This window comes from Homo sapiens, chromosome 12 (genome assembly GCF_000001405.40).
Source record: "Homo sapiens chromosome 12, GRCh38.p14 Primary Assembly".
Classification (NCBI taxonomy): Eukaryota; Metazoa; Chordata; class Mammalia; order Primates; family Hominidae; genus Homo; species Homo sapiens.
Window position 1 is genome coordinate 22,494,292 of NC_000012.12, and position 15,481 is coordinate 22,509,772.

General features: G+C 34.2%; 1 protein-coding gene across 35 annotated transcripts in view, besides 1 other annotated feature; it reads right to left on the bottom strand.

Moving 5' to 3' along the window:
• C2CD5 (C2 calcium dependent domain containing 5) overlaps window positions 1-15,481 on the bottom strand; it is a 95,960-nt gene that overhangs the window by 45,709 nt on the left and 34,770 nt on the right. For 21 of the 35 annotated variants that reach the window (NR_169598.1, NM_001385330.1, NM_001385329.1 and 18 more), the window contains one exon: window positions 12,420-12,528. Coding sequence is in view for 33 of the 35 variants with exons in the window: in NM_001385330.1 (NP_001372259.1) it covers window positions 12,420-12,528 (109 nt within the window). In the remaining 2 variants the exon portion in view is untranslated. Of the gene's footprint in view, window positions 1-3,287; window positions 3,337-7,503; window positions 7,527-8,447; window positions 8,514-12,419; window positions 12,529-15,481 lie in introns of those variants that run through there. The other 14 variants (XM_017020270.2, XM_017020269.2, XM_017020266.2 and 11 more) reach the window with 3 other exon arrangements.
• Window positions 11,644-11,938: a silencer, noted in NCBI's record as "tiled region #11196; HepG2 Repressive DNase matched - State 9:DNaseU, and K562 Repressive non-DNase unmatched - State 24:Quies". NCBI's record gives its function as "represses a minimal TATA promoter and a strong SV40 promoter by Sharpr-MPRA in HepG2 and K562 cells {active_cell/tissue: HepG2 | K562}" and the evidence as "EXISTENCE:reporter gene assay evidence [ECO:0000049][PMID:27701403]".

Sequence of the window (15,481 nt, forward strand, 5' to 3'; positions counted from 1 at the left end):
AATGCTAAGCTCTCATTGTAATTTTTCCATATAAAAGCCACTATTAAATCTAAAAACCAAAAAATCCAAAGTTTCTATTTTTGAATTGCAGTATATATCCAATTTTCAAAATATGTTTTTCAAAATTAGTAGAATAAGTAGAATTATACTCACTAGTAAAATAGTGAAGACAGCAAAGTAAAGAAAGGTTAAGAGGCGTGTTATAGCTCACATTCCTATGATGAAATTTTTGTCTCCTCCACAGGGAGGAGGATCAGCAAAAGGGAGAAATAAGGAGATAAAAGCCAGAACTACAAATGATGCCAGCCAGTTCTTGAATTAAAGTTTTGGTTCCAAGACAAAGCTACCTTAAAACTTTCTTTCAGAAGAAAGAAATGCAGAATTCAGGAAACTGAGAAAGACATCAAAGTAGAAGATAAAATAAGGAAGAGAAATAGAAAAGACTACAATATGGTATTAGCAATCAATGTTATAAATTAAGAAATGTGTGAACAATTAAGTGAACCTATTTTACACAAATACTACTTGTGTTAAAGAATTTCTTCATATTCCCAAATGAAATGTATATAGTAACAGCAAAAATACACTTTCAAATCCATACTCTCTTTTTTCTAAGACATACACACTTACGGACCAATCTGAACATCCATTTAACATCATCCTTTCCTAAAAGAGAATTTTTCTATCATAAGATGAACTATTATTCAAGTGGTTGCTCTAATCTATTAAATGACTATGATTCTGAGAAAATAATTGTCACAACCATAGAAATGTATTTCAGTTTAGAAAATACCTATTTTCCCAAAAAATTGCATGAAATAAAATTCTAACTTTTCTTAAACTCACTAATAAAACCTACTGTTTACTTTTTAAACCATTCTAGAAGTTTAAAATATTATTTTCTAAAGCAAATAATTATGTACTATGTTTTTATAAGATTTTTCTCACATTGGGTTTGCCTTCTTCATCTGTACCACAAGTAATACATGGTGGCTTTACTGTTTTAAAAATGAATTTTACAGAAAGTAATCCATAAACAGTGTTTTAGAAATTAATAAAAAATGGAGGAAGCTACTTAAGTTCTACATATATTTATTTTTAAAACGCCAACATGTCTAAATGGGAAAGTATGTTATAACAATTCCTATGAGATACCACATAGAATACAAAGTTCATTTACGTTAAACTTACCTTAGTATAACACATAAAATAATCAAATAATTAAACCAAACACTATGAAAGAATAAGTGGCTGATTCAAAAAACAAACGAACAAAAAAAAAAAAGCTGAATGCAGCGCAAGTGGAGCATTCATATTCTTCTGACAAATTCACAAGCAGCCTTTATTTTAACACATGAGCCACACAATTGCACATGAGGATGCCATTATTGTATTTAATAAGTATTTACAAGTTTAATACAAAGCTAAAGAGTTACATAACATGGGAGCTAAGGAAGCAAATGGCATATGTCCACACTCCAGAAAACTTCTTAAATTTGGTTTTTGGCTAAAGCAAAAGCTCAAAGAACGAAGGGTTTGCAAAGCAGATTCAGCATACAGGAGCCAGAAACAGTGGATATTTTGGCGCATGCTTGGATCAGGTGACAGTACAGACTGAAAACTATGGCAGCTCACTGAAATGGTTACAAGAAAGTAATGGCCCTAGATTCTAGGTGAAAGCAAGGCAAGCATACAGTAGGGAGCACTTAATCACAAACTGGTAATTATATTAACAATTATCTACAACTGTAAGCAAGAGACTAAAGGAAAAATTTTTGGCTACTAAATTTAGGGGGCATTTAATTAAAACAAAATTAAGATTAATTTGTTTAACAGTAAAGAAAAGTTAAATTTATCTCCAAAGCTTATTTTATACTCATGCCAGACATGACCTAGAGAATCTTCAAGCAGTAATTATGATTCAGCCTATCCTATTACCAATAAAAATTCAGAGATATCACAGTATTTAATCCCTATAATAGAATGTTTAAGGTTTAAAAACTGATAACTACAGTCTTATAGGAATGTATTGTGTTTTCCTATAAGAAACACACTAATGAATTGGAATTATTTTATTCATCCTAAAAAGTACAAAATTGAGGATACTATACTAACATAAATGCAAACAGAGTCTAGCTTAAAATTTTGTGGCAACTATGTATGTGACACATGAAATGATACAATTTAGTTATCTGAAGGATATACAGCTGAGATGTGAGGTCATTTAATAAACATTAAATAAACATTTCAAAGATGTTAAGAAACAAACCTCTTCACCTTAAACACATTTCTTCTGATAATCTACAGAATTATTTACAATTATAAAAGTTATTATTTTAGGAAAATTTAAAATTTAATTATATACAAATTAATATATTTTTATATACAAATTATATATTTTATATATAAGTTTAATATACAAGTTATATTTTATACTATTTTATGTTTTTCTTCTGTGGGTCAAAACTCTTTGTAGATAATATCGCAAATCTTTTAATATATCCTTTTAATTGCAGGCATGAACTGAGCACTAAATCAATCCTCACTGATGTCTCTTTTAGGGGTAATGTCAGCACACTTAGGTTGACATCAGAATTCATTAATTTTTACTACGTTACATTCCTAGAGCATGGCCACAGCTCGATATCTTGCCATCTTTTTAACATTTTGTTTCTGAAGTGCAGGTGAAACTGGTAAAATTCTAAAACGGCAGTTTATATATCAGAAAATAACAATGTGAACAACTCAACATAATATGCTCTTATTAAACTCAACCTCTTTGAGATTTTAGGCTATCATACACTTGGCAATTAAGAAATACCAACTACCTGAAATGTTAAGTTCAGTTCATTTTTATATAGCTCTGGGAGAGAATAACTCTGCCTTGCAGATTCTTTTAATACGGTTAGAAGAAAAAAGAAATTATTCTAATGTTTTAAAGCAGAGTGACTATAGTTACCAACACTGTACTGTATATGTCAAAACAGCTACCCGAGAGAACTTGAAATGTTCCCAACACTTAGAAATCATAAATACTCAAGGTGATGGATACTCCAAATACCCTGATTTGATCATTATTCTATGCATGTAACAAAATAAAACATGTACCCCATAAATACAAACAAATATTGTTTAAAAATAAAAATTATTTTTAAAATGGACAGTTATTCAATCTAATTTATAAATCAACAAAAGGAGATAAAATGTTAGGTTGGATCAAATAAAGGTTAATACAATGATAATCTATCATGTTAACGGACAGTATAAAAAGCTATATTCCCAAATACCTGAAAGTAACATTCCAACTGCTAACCTCTTGAAGAAGATAAATTTCCCCTAATGAAAAAGAAATTAGAGAGTTCAGGTTCAAAGGAGTATATAATCTCAAACTGGGTGGGGATCAGTAGACTAGGAAGAAGATTCTCATTATAGAGGAAGTCATGTGCAAATACAGAGCAAACGTCAAGACCTAGTCATTTGTGATGTTAGGATGAAACTAAGATATAATCCATGTTTGACCAAACTGGAGTCTTTACTATCTGTAAATTTAGAAAGTCAAATGTGCAATCTACTCCATAATTGTGAAATTTCACTACATACACGCATGCACACACATACACACACACACACACACACACACACACACACACAATGTAACTGGATTTTCATTACTCTAAAATTACTGGTAATATAGAAAAGCTCACATATCACGCATGCTGTATTTATGCCATCTTGCATCTTGAACTCTTATTTATCTACTTCCTGAAAACCTTATTAAAATACTGAAAACCAAAAGCTGTATAAGTACTTTAGGTATAGTTTGCACATCTGCTCATAAGTATCTCTCAGGGAAAATGATAATTGCTGAGATTATCAGTAAAATTAAAGTTCCAAGAGAGCCTACCACCTATCTCCATTTAACTAATACACACATATGCACACACCAAAATAGTGTAAGAATTACCCTAGACTGGGTGTGTACAGGACGTCTGCCTGGCTTAACAATTATGTTTCCAGTACCCAACACAGTGTGCAACACATGGTAGGCACTCCACAAACATCCACTGAATAAAAACGTGACTGAATTGAAACTTAAACTAAAAAAAACAAAAAAGTTCATTCAGATGAGCAGACTGATCTGTACATTCTATAAATATATCCCTATATAATCAGCTGACCCACATTTTGTTACCATTAAATATTTTGTAAAGTAATTATACTTATTTTTATAGGACATAACTACTCACTTTTGCTCCTAAACTAAATGAATTTTCTAAACAACTATAATTCTGATGGCAAACAAAAAAGACTAATATTTTCTAATTTTGAACTATTAATCCAAAGCTTGCTTATCACTAGTAAAAGTTTATGATTGAGAAAAACTTAAGTATAATATGTCCTAAGATCTATAATCTGTCTAAAATAAAATTTGTTTAAAAACCCTTTTAAAAATTTTCTCAAAAACCAACAAAAGGCTATCTGGTGTTAAACACTTGTTTTACTAACTCAGGACTTAAAATATCAACTCACAAATTTTGTCTACGTCCAGAAGCTATCTCCCACTAATAAACAATTACATTTTGATACCACGCTATATAACTTCTTTACTTCTTCTTGCCACTTCCTGAAAAAAAATCTAAGCTGACATGCAATCTCTACAGAGGAAAAAATAGTAAATTATCCGCAACTATCAAGATTATCACTGATTTAAAAATTATGTATGTGAGCTACTCAGAAATACTTCTAGTGGTAACTCAAGGGAAAAAAATAAAAGATCATACTCATTTGAAAAATGAGTTAGGACTATTAAAACTTGCTCTTTAAATATTTTCCCATCTCAACACTCAAATAAACTTGAGTTTCCAAAGGGTAGAACTCAATTGCTATGTAGAATTTTAGAACTGTAGGTATGTGGGATAATTCCCCTTTCTTTCTCTTGTCTTGAAAGCAGACAAGAGCATGCTTCATTTGCCACATTTCAGTAGTTACTAGGTCCTGCTGTTATTATACTCAAAATATCTCATTAATTTATAGTTAAGAGTACAGGTTCTGAAGCCAGAGTACTCAGGTACAAATTGTGGCTTAGCCACTTTCTAACTATTCACCTTTGGAAAACTACTGTTTCACTTTGCTCACCTACAAAACAGGATTAGAGTCGACCTCAGAGATCTGTTTTGAGGATTAAATGGTCTACTATTATAAAGCACTTAAAAGAGTACGTGGCATGTAATAAGTTCTTGATCAGTGTAGCTCTCCTATCACCACCAAAACCTAGGTTACCTATGTAGCCAAGGTTACCACACAGTCTGCTAACTGGTCTCCCTGTCTCTAGTCTTATTGCCTTTAAGCCCATTCTCCACCCTATAGTCAATGATCTAATGCAAATGTGCCCATGGGCTACCCTAATTCTTATGCACTTCCAATCCTAGAATGTCACACATAAGATTTGTAAATGCTGCAATCTGCTTCCTAGCAGCAACACTCACCTGCCTGGCATTTCTCAAAGTCTGTTACCAAGCCAGAAACATAAGCAGCATGATAAGTAAAGGTAACATTTTAAAAATAAATTCTAATATTGAGTTCCCTTCTTCCTGCTCTATAAAAACATTTCTAGGTCTGGGTGCAGTGGCTCACGCCCGTAATCCCCACACTTTGGGAGGCTGAGGCAGATGGATCCCTTGAGGTCAGAAGTTCGAGATCAGCCTGGCCAACATGGTGAAACCCCATCTCTACAAAAAAATAATTAGCCAGGCATGGTGGCACGTGCCTGTAATCCCAGCTACTTGGGAGGCTGAGGCATGAAAATCACTTGAACCTGGGAGGCGGAGGTTGCAGTGAGCTGAGATCACGCCACTGAACTCCAGCCTGGGTGACAGAGCAAGATTCCATCTCCAAAACAAAAAATTCTAACGCTGTAGTTAACACAAACTAAGGCAGCAAAGCAGGAGAAAAGGAGACAGAAAAAAAAAAAAAGCTAAACTAACCAAGATATTTTGTACTCTGTGGCAAGCAACGTAGTAAGCATGAAGTAACTATGTAAACATCATCAAATGAGTACTGGCTAGGACATTGTTTTGTAAATGCTAGAAGTTTGAGAACCACACTCAAAGTATGCATAAACATGGGTCCAAAAACACCAAAATACAAATCTATGTGATTCTCCCATCTATCCTTCAAATCTGAGCTCAAGAATTACCACTTCTATAAGTTTCTCTCATACAGAGTTAATCAAGCCTTCTTCTTTAACTCTTTATCTTGTATCACACCATACCACACAGTAAATTATTTAATGTCTGTCTATCCTCCAAGAATATGAGCTTCATGAAGGCAGGGGGACTGGCAATCTTTCCACCCTAGACCTAGCAAATTGCGTGGCACAAAATAAATTCTGATATAAGCTTGCATGATCTGTCATATTTTATACATTACTGTATAATAACATTTTCCTATAACTTTCCATATTTTAATGTTTCTGAAATAAGAATGTCTAATAATTAATAAGTATATTTAATATGGTGGTATATATTTTTCTTTTTCTTGGAAGTCTGTTATTAAAATGATAATGCTTCATATAATACATGGTACAAAGCAGCCAGGAAATACAGTGTAAATGAGCAATTCTAGCCCTAATAAAAATGGTATCAACAATTCTTTTCCTAACATGGTTAGTTCTTGATTTTCTACATATGAGAGCAATGGCTAAATATTCTCAATTTACAGATAAGAATACATAAATGATTTGCATATATTTACCTATATCAAATTTTTCTTCAGAATTATCAAGTTATTTTTCCTAAACAAGTATGAAAATCAGTTGTTTCTGAAGATATACTAAGTCTTACCAGAAAGATTCTAATTAATCAAAAGCATACTACAAGGTGTCATCATTTATGTTCTTTTAACATTCTATAACTTATATCTACCTTTTTTCTTCACACACTTCCAACGTGACATTATTTTAAATGATGGCAAGATATACTGCTTCCTCAACCATGTTTTTCTTTGCCAAACCGTAATTCTGCTTACGTGGGACAACGTCCTTACTATGTCTATAAGATTTAATTACTGCCATTTCCATTTCCAAGACTGTTCTATCATTTGACCAACACACATCTCACCCTAAACATCTTTGCCCTGACAAGATTTCAGTTCCTTATATTATTAATGGTCAATATGCTCTCAATGTCCTTTTTCTATATATCTTTCCACTATACTAATCTGCCTATGTTTTAAAATTTCTTAAGAAATCAACCTAGGAAAGTATTTTTCAATTTCTCACTAAAAAACAATTACAAAATATTACACTAACAAATGATCATTTCAATTCTAATCAATGACAGCAGGCTGGTAAAAACTTGGATAGGAAATTTCCCTATGGATTTACCGATTGATATCAATCTACATCTGTAAATGTTGGACTTATCATATGGTTTACCAGACTGAATTTAGGTAAATCTACATGATGAACATGATTTACTTCATAGTCAAACATGCATTACTTACATCAAAACTTACATCTTGAACTCCTAAGAACAAAAAAAAGTTTACAATATTGAAAAGATTATGAGATATTATCTAAAATTCTGAGCCCCGTGGCGTCTTTGCTTTTCTGTAAGATATACTTTCTGAGACAAATAACTGAAAAATTTCTTTAGGCAACATACCAGCTTCTGACACTGAATCAAAATGGTTGTATTATTTCATTCTAAAAAATATAATATAAACAATTAGAAATGTACATTATGTTTTTATCAAAAAAAAAAATTAATTACTTTTGACTCTAAAACACATCATCAGCTGTAAAGCTCACTATCGTAGTCTGTTTATTTAAAAGCTACAAACTACATTCATATGTAAAATTACTTTTTAAAAATTATATTCACATGTGGAAAGGGAAGGAGGAAAGTTTAAGAAAGCTGTTAATCCCCAAAAAGTCTATTCTTAGTTATCTAATTTTGGAACACTTCTAGAATTATAAATAAAAATGCTAACAGTTACACTTTTACAGTAGCCTATAGAACACTAAATCTATTCAAATCTAAATGTGCATTTAAATATACTTTATTTTTAGATTTATGAAACATTACTTATATTTAACAAATATTTGCTTAATCTTAAAGCTAATGCCTACATCATTTACCTGATATAGAAAACCATCCAAAATGTAATAAATATAATTTTAAATGATCATTCTGAAGTTAATCACCTAAGAAAAGTCATTGATAATTTATGGTATTTCTATGGCTTTCATTAATTCATTTTAGTTAACACATTTTTATATTTGTATTTCCATTGAAATTACAAGAGTTATTACATACGTAGCACAGAATATTATCTGTATAACTGAATTGACCTTAAACCTACTTCATCTAGAACATTTCTAAAAACTTCACTGAGCTGCCATAATTTTTGTCAGCATATGTAGTACTGAATGACCATTAAAATACCTGAATTGAAACTATTCCAGTCTAGCAGTTTGTAAGATCTTGTGTTACCCATAATTCCGACAAAGGCTGAGTTCAAAACAGCAAATTAGTAGATCAGTTTTAGGTGCAGAATAGTAGGAATAAAACAAAAAACACTACAAACAAGAACGCAATTGACAACACCACTCGACAGGAACTGGAAAGACATAGACAGCAGAGTTAATAAGAAGTAGAAATAGAAAGGGGGAAAGGAGCATGCTATAGTAATCTAACATTAACTAATCTAATTATTTAATTACCTTGATTTTTAAAACCACCCCATTCTTTCCCTTGTTGTAGTCACCCGTTTGCTCAATATTTACCAAAGGAGGATGTTCTTTAAAAAAGCCTCCAAAATAATAATCCATAGTTAGCAGGTGGTAGTGGTTTTAAAATAAGATTTTTTCCCTTCTATAGTGAGAATGAAACAAAAATTTCCCATATTCACCGGTCAAAAAATAGCTGCAAAACTCATTTGAGAATGCAAACACAACATTTTTAACATTAGCACATGCATCTCAATCCATCGTTAAGTCTCCCTCAGCAGAGGAACTCAGTGTCACAAAATTAAAACATCATCATTACGGTAGATGTTAATCTAGAGTTTTGTTTTGTTTCAACATTCAGCTTTTCTTCAATATATTAAAATTTCTTCATAAATAATTACTTAAGAGGCCTGGAGATCAGTAAATGTTCTCAAGAAAATGTTCCTTTTTAGTGCGTAATAATACATAAAACAATCCGAAGAATGTGACATTTTATTTTATTTTTTGAGATGGAGTCTCCCTCTGTCACCTAGGCTGGAGTGCAGTGGCATGATCTCGGCTTACTGCAACCTCCATCTCTAGGGTCCAAGTGATCCTCCTGCCTCAGCCTCCCAAGTAGCTAGGACCACAGACAATGTACCACCAGGCCCGGATAGTTTTTGTATTTTTGGTAGAGAGAGGGTTTCACCATGCTGCCCAGGCCGGTCTCAAACCCCTGAGCTCATGCGATCTGCCCGCCTTGGCCTCCCAAAATGTTGGGATTACAGGTGTAAGCAACCGTGCCCAGTCAGAATGTGATACTTTAAATCAAAATAATATTAGAACCATTAGAATAATTACACATATTTAACTAAAAATAAAACAAAATGAAAATATAACTCATACGCCATTGAAAGCACTTATATGTATATGTCCATGACCTTTTGGGAAATAATCCATTAATAACTGAGAATTTCTAAATGTGAGCTGAGAAAATACTCTAAACTGGGAGGAAAGGCAGAGAATGGGTGAGCTGGTAGTTACAATACACAAAACACATTCTGTAATAGGAATCATTCTTTTCTTCCCTGGGCCTGGATTCTTACATTTCTTGCACAATTAGCATGAACTGGCACATAAAATAAACCCCAAAATGCAGTTCGTTTTTTTTTTTAAGTAGTGACATTTTAAATACAACTCTCTACTTAAACTTATTTAAGTAAACTTCACCTGTTCTCCCAGACTCTATAGCTTACTCAGAGTACATGGAAGCAACAAAATAAAATCAAAATGTTTTTTTTTCTTTTTTTTTTTTTTTGAGAAGGAGTCTCATTCTGTTGCCCAGGCTGGAGTGCAGTGGCACGATCTCAGCTCACTACAACCTCCGCCTCCCGGTTTCAAGCAATTCTCCTGTCTCAGCCTCCCGAGTAGCTGGGACTACAGGCGCCTGCCACCAGGCCCAGCTAATTTTTGTATTTTTAGTAGAGACAGGGTTTCACCTTGTTGGTCAGGCTGGTCTCAAAACTCCTGACCTCAGATGATCCACCCGCCTCAAACTGGCTTCCCAAAGTGTTGGGATTACAGGCGTGAGCCTCCGTGCCCAGCCCAAAATGTTTTTCAGTAAGCAGAAGACATCTAGTAATTAAATATACTCCTGAAACCATGTTTCGAACTATCAGATCAGTGGGTGCCATCTATTAAAATATTTGAGTCAATGGTCCATAGAAACACAGGTAACTAGCCTTGGGTCACAAGGGTGATGTCAGGTATTTTAACTCAGTATTTCCTTGCATTTTCCAAATAATTCAAGTTCCTTAACACAAAGATATAGAATTTGGCATAGTCTTCAAGATCCCAATACATTAAACTGGCATCAGTCTGAATTTTTCTTAAGTACTGTACACAAATACTACAATGGAGAAAACATCTTATATTGACCACAAAAATAAGAAACGGGGGGAAAAAAAACTAAAGAAGGGGAAAAAAAGAGAAAACCAGTGCTTAGAAGATGCATTTGCCCAGTTTTAGAGTTAAATAATCCTGACTCGCACTGTTTTTCTGAAATCTCATTCAGGGTCCAGAGAATTCTAGTCTTCTTCTCTGAAATAAACTCAAATGACATCAAACTACAGGGCATAAATTAAACTTTAAAAAAATTTTAAAAAATAGTAATGCTCTGTATCCTCAAAAATAGTCATTATCTACAATATTTTGGTCCAATAACTTCAAAGCATTTTTACCCTTCTTTCTTTCTTTTTTTTTTTTTTTTTTTTGAGACAGAGTTTCGCTCTTGTCGCCCAGGCTGGAGTGTAGTGGCACAATCTCGGCTCACTGCAACCTCCACCTCCCGGGTTCAAGCAATTCTCTGCCTCAGCTTCCCAAGTAGCTGGGATTACAGGTGCCTGCCACCACGCTCAGCTGATTTTTGTATTTTTAGTATTTTACAGGCATGAGCCACTGTGTCCGGCCACCCTTCTTTTTATAGCTGTCAATACAAGCCTCACAAAGAGGTCACTGGATGTGACAATTTAAAATTTTCAAAAATATATACGTCTATACACCAAATAAGAATACTAATATAACTTCAGGTTTAATGTATGTTGATTGAGCATCTAGTCAATGAGAGATGCAAGAACACATTCCATATGGAAAGTTCCCACTATTCATCATGCTTATTTTAGACGTAGAAAAATCACCAGAGGATTTCTGATCAAAGGGCCTGAATCCAGTGGGACTTTGATGCCTACTCGCTTTTATAATTATGGTCCTATGTTTTAAAGAAGTAAGCTACTATTCTTACTCGTTTGCTTAAACATAACAAATAGCTACATAAAAGAAACTGAAGGACCAGATGTTAGTTTGCTCATCTGTTTTTCAATTCTTAGCTACTCTAGACAACGCCTACAATTACTTTGTTGCCCATGCTGGATTCCACCAATGACAGAGTGGAATCCCAGCACAGTGCTGGGATCTGGGTTCTGTGTCTCCTGAGTGCTGCCTGGGTAGACTGGAGGGGACAGGTGGCCGTGGTCAAAGACAGTCCCAGTGTGTTCAAGTTACACAATGAGCTCTAAGAAATGACAGCTCCAGTAGCCTGCTCAGCAAGAGGGTCTTTGACCCATGGACTGGTTTGGTTCCCTCTGCTACCTATCTGTTCCTATGACACCCACAGTGTTTACATAGGTCTTGTTGTGTTGCCCAGGTTGTTGCCCAAGTCTGGCTATGTTGCCCTGGGCTCAAGCGATCCTCCTTGCCCCGGCCTCCTGAGTAGCTGGGACAACAGGCACATGCTACTGTGCCCAGCTTTACAATTACATTTTTAAAAATACCTGTTTTAAGAACAAGGAAAATAAGTAATCTATAAAAAGCTACTGCTAATGAAAAGAACTAACATCTTAAACTAATGGCCATAATGGTCAATTTATAAAAATGTTTATCTCCCCTGGGTCAAAGAAAAGTTATTTAAGGATTTCCTTAAAGTGATATTGTGACCAAAAATAAATCAATTGGTTTTTTACAGAAAAGTAACTAAAATACACTTAGTTTATTTATAATTAAGATGACTACAAATATATTAAAGTAACGTGCTAGTTTATACTTTCTTTTCATTTCTCTTTTCAGTTAGATTTGGCTTTAAAAAAATCATAAAAATCAATTTTAATAACCACAATTTAAATAAAGGAAACATTGAAACTTTTTAAGAACATACCAGGATTGTGGATACGATCCAAAAGCTTCACAGAACGTGCACTAACTACACCCCCAACGTGTACAAGGAATCCAGGAGGAAATGCCGTCAAGGTAAAAAATGGAAATTCCTAGTGGAAAGAATAAGGGAAAAATACAACTTATCGTGTGTAGAGTGTAAAAAATTTGCTTATTAAAAAGCTTGCCATAGCAACTGTATTACATCCCTTGAAATAAAAGGCCACCCATTACACATCACACATGCTTTGTAATTAAAAGTTTAATTAAATGTTTAGAGTTTCAAATCCATTTCCCCATATATACAATGTTATACAGAATCCAAAGACCCATTTCATCAGTTCTCAATGAAGAAAAAAAAAGTGTTCCTTCAATTTAAGATATTTGAAACACACTCTTCCTTCCTCTGAATCTCCAACTCTGATGGAACTTCTCAATGAGATGAGGGAACTGCCCTATCCCTCTTCCCCTTTATCTATCAGTGGTTTAGACACCCCCTTCACATGAACACCCAGTATAAGACACTGGTAAAGACTCTAAAAACCTGGGGCCAAGGGATCTAAATGAAAGTGGGACCAAAGGAGGATAAGTGAGAGGATAAGCAGTGTGGGTTAAGAGAAAGAGGATAGTGGCAAATATCAAGTTGAGATGGGTAGAGAATCATTGTGTGAGGTTACTCTATCAACACCAATGTGGCAGGAACAAATACAAGTGCATAAAGGTACATTAAGGAAAGTTGAAAGGTACATAGATAACAGCTAGGAAGGCAATAAAATTCCACAAGTTCTTGCAAGCTTTATTCTATCCTTCTCTCTTAAAGAATAAAATTCATCAACTTAGAGACAAAGAGAAACACAAAAAAGACAAATGAAAAAGCCAAGAAAGGAAATTCATTGAAATAGGACCCAATAAGAAAACGGAGCTCCTGTGAAAACATGGAGGCCCCTCACATTACACAAATTGGATGCAAGTAAGGAAAACTTGATGTTTGACCTGTCTGGCTGCAAGATTAATGTAGCTCACTTAACTGGAATCACTTACCAGTAGCCTCAGCTATTTAGAACATAATTGAGCATAATTGAGAAAAATAAGCAAAACAGGGCTCTCAACGGTCAAAAGAACTGTTACGGTCTCAAGCTCTAAAGCTCATATACTTTATTCATAGGAGACTCCCACAGATCATATTCATACTATATTATAGTAGTTATAAATTTTTATCTTAAAAAGAAACAACTCTAAAATTTATCATGATCTCATTTTCAAGACCACCTCAGATTAAATGCAACAAATAAAAGCTGGTAAAGAGATACAGAATACCACCAGAAGCAGGCTTATTAAAAGCAGCAAGAATTATTCACTGGCTGCTTCAAGCATGGAGAATACAAACTCACAAAAGCATGATCACAAAGCACGGCAACTTGGAATCATTTTGCACAAAAGCTATCAGTCCTGTGCACCTCAGTAACCCATGAAGGTTGAGTATAAAAAAGTTTCTAAAATTTATTTAGAAATAAATTCAGTTCAAATTTAGAAGTAATCTTTAAACAAGAGAAAGAAAAATCTATGCTATGTAAGAAAAGAGTAAAAAACTGGTCTATGGAAGTGGTTAGGTATAGCCCAGCAGAAAGGTAGAGGGAAAATAAGGAAGAGGATGGAAGGAGAGTACGTCACTTATAATAAATGTATTATAATATGTTTAGTCAAAATGCATCCTTATTTCCATTTAAACTTCTTTTTCTGTCCTCTAAGTTTTGTTCCTGGAAATCTAATAAAAATTGTACAAACTAGAGGATTACCTCATAATGAATTCATATTTATTATTAGGAAATTTGAATGTAAATGAAGTTTTGAGTCATAAAAATATTCGAATGGATTTATTGTTAGGCACAGCACACACGGGGTAATTACACAATATAAGTATTAAGAAAGAAGTTGGGAAAACAGTTCGGTAATCACTGAGCAAGTACATTTGAACTTTGTAAATGTGAGTTTTAAATGAGAAACGTATAGGTAAGCTTATATTATTAATAATGTAGTTAGGTCTTTCAGATTTTTTTTTCAGTGTTAGGATCACTTAAATTTTAATATTTCCTCAAAATATCTGAGGCATGTGGTGGTCTCACAGAATAAAAAATCACTTTATATGTAATCTTTATACTTAAATCTTTTTTTTTTTTTTTTGAGACGGAGTCTCGCTCTGTCGCCCAGGCCAGACTGCGGACTGCAGTGGCGCAATCTCGGCTCACTGCAAGCTCCGCTTCCCGGGTTCACGCCATTCTCCTGCCTCAGCCTCCCGAGTAGCTGGGACTACAGGCGCCCGCCACCGCGCCCGGCTAATTTTTTGTATTTTTTTAGTAGAGACGGGGTTTCACCTTGTTAGCCAGGATGGTCTCGATCTCCTGACCTCATGATCCACCCGCCTCGGCCTCCCAAAGTGCTGGGATTACAGGCGTGAGCCACCGCGCCCAGCCTTAAATCTTTTAAATATCTAGACAAGAGATACTGAAAATAACATTTTTGTAAGCTAAATGGAAGATAGTACTTCCTTTTTCCTTCTAAAGAAATAGGTAAATTATGTATTAGAAAATATTTTCATATAAGATTTTACATAAGTATGAATAAATGAACCTAAATGACTTCTCAATTCAGGGTTCTTTACCCTTCTCCCCAAAGTTCTTTGTTTGGGATAAAGAAACGAGGGCAAGCATTGTACTAGAGCTGGTCAGAAAGAAACACACAGGGCGATGGCTGCCCATTGAGGCCACGACCCACTCTCCACCTCACATGTCCCCAGTTCACCTAATCGGCACACCAATTCACTCTAAAACACAAAATTTAACCTATAATAAATAAAAATGTCATTGTTATTTAACCAAAACTCCGTCTTCATACAATTCTCTCATGAGAAGAGCTACTGCTGAAATCTATAGCAGATTGTTAAGTACCTATCATCACCACCATAACTAGCAACTACTGTCAAGTACTTCTATGTGCCAGGCCCTGTAGCTTGTGCTGTATAACCTTTCCCATATGAGGGAAGTACTATTATCTCCATTTTTTATATGA